Here is a 1555-nt window from a genome sequence, read left to right as displayed (position 1 = left end):
ATTATTGAACTAGAAAATCTTCATCAATTATGGACTTGATCTTATTCAATTTTGAGTGAGTCATATCCAAGCAATAAAGTGTCTTTCTATATTACATATAATGTAATTAAACTATATTCTGTTTGAGGTGGTTTACAAATATCTCACAACTTCAACAAAAAAGTATAGGGTAAAAATTATCCTCCTTTCACACATAAGTCCCATGAGGTAATATACTCAAGTTGCACACCTAATTAACAATAGAACTAAGATTAGACCTAAATACACATTATAAAATATCGGTAGTCATTATCAAAAGACAGTAAACATTAACATCACATTAGGTCACACTTTAGTGAATATTTATCTTCATGAATGGTATAGTAAGACCTTACACAATGACTTCAAGTGTTTAATAAACTCCTTTTACTGCATTTAAAAATAAAGACATGATATCATAAACTACATGCACATTTTGACTTTTTTTTCATTTTGAATTTCGTTTCCCTGATTCTGGTTTGACATACATAAGTGCAGTACTTCCTTTGATTTTCATATGTACCCAATAATTTTACTATATATATATATTACTATATATAAATATATATTACTGTATATAAATATGTATTACTATATATAACTATATATATTACTATATATAACTATATATATATATAAAACTATATATATATAACTATATATATAACTATATATATATAACTATATATATATAACTATATATATATATAACTATATATATATATATATATATATATATATATAAAACTATATATATATATATATATCCGATGGCAGTGGTAGCCGGTTTGAATAACTAAAAGAGCTGTGGCCGTGGACCCGAGAATCTCTGCATTCTAGCGGGTCCAGGAAGCCCCCTCCTAACAGGCTTGGAAGTGTCTGCTCCTGCTGCCTGGCCTTTTCTCGCTCTCAGCAACCGCTTTGATTTCGGAGCAAAGATGGGGCCAAACCCAGATGCTGTCACAATTCAGAGGGATGTGTGCACACTCGGGGCAGCATGGAAATGCCACACCCCTGATGCCTTGGCTCCCTCCAGACTTCGGGCATCAGTGAGCATGGGAGTGAGGCAGAGGGAGAACTGAGGATGGCTCCGTGTGGGCCTGCAGGTGCCCCTTGGCATGAATAGCCTGGATGTCATGGATGGCAGCAGGAGGCATGCAGGCTCCCAAGCAAAATGGGGTGAGTCCCCAGTGAAACCCTACATTCAGGCCAGGGACAGTGTGAGGCCTGGGAGCTGGGCTGCCAGTTCCACAGACCCAAATAAGAACTTATGGTGTTTTTTCCAGGCCCACCCATGGTTGCCCATGGACCAATCAGGACCCACTTCCTCCCTTCTGAAGCCAGTAAAAATCCTGGACTCAGCCAGACATGGGCAGATGTTGGGATGACCTGCCTGTGGAGAGGAGGTCCTCACTTCGGGTCTCCTGAAACCTGTTCTGCTGCTCAATAAAGCCCCTTTCTGCCTTGCTCACCCTGCAGTTGTCCATGTATCTCATTCTTCCTAGACACCAGACAAGAACTTGGGACCTGCCAAATG

At 38.6% G+C, this 1555-nt stretch overlaps 1 annotated feature.

Annotated features, from left to right (window-relative positions):
- Positions 1055 to 1555: an enhancer, noted in NCBI's record as "H3K4me1 hESC enhancer chr2:185395422-185395922 (GRCh37/hg19 assembly coordinates)". NCBI's record gives its function as "activates a minimal SCP1, AML or CMV promoter by ChIP-STARR-seq in primed H9 embryonic stem cells {active_cell/tissue: H9 hESC(primed)}" and the evidence as "EXISTENCE:reporter gene assay evidence [ECO:0000049][PMID:30033119]".

Source organism: Homo sapiens, chromosome 2 (assembly GCF_000001405.40).
Source record: "Homo sapiens chromosome 2, GRCh38.p14 Primary Assembly".
Classification (NCBI taxonomy): Eukaryota; Metazoa; Chordata; class Mammalia; order Primates; family Hominidae; genus Homo; species Homo sapiens.
The sequence above is the reverse complement of the archived record's forward strand: the minus strand, read 5'-3'. Positions and strand labels throughout refer to the sequence as shown.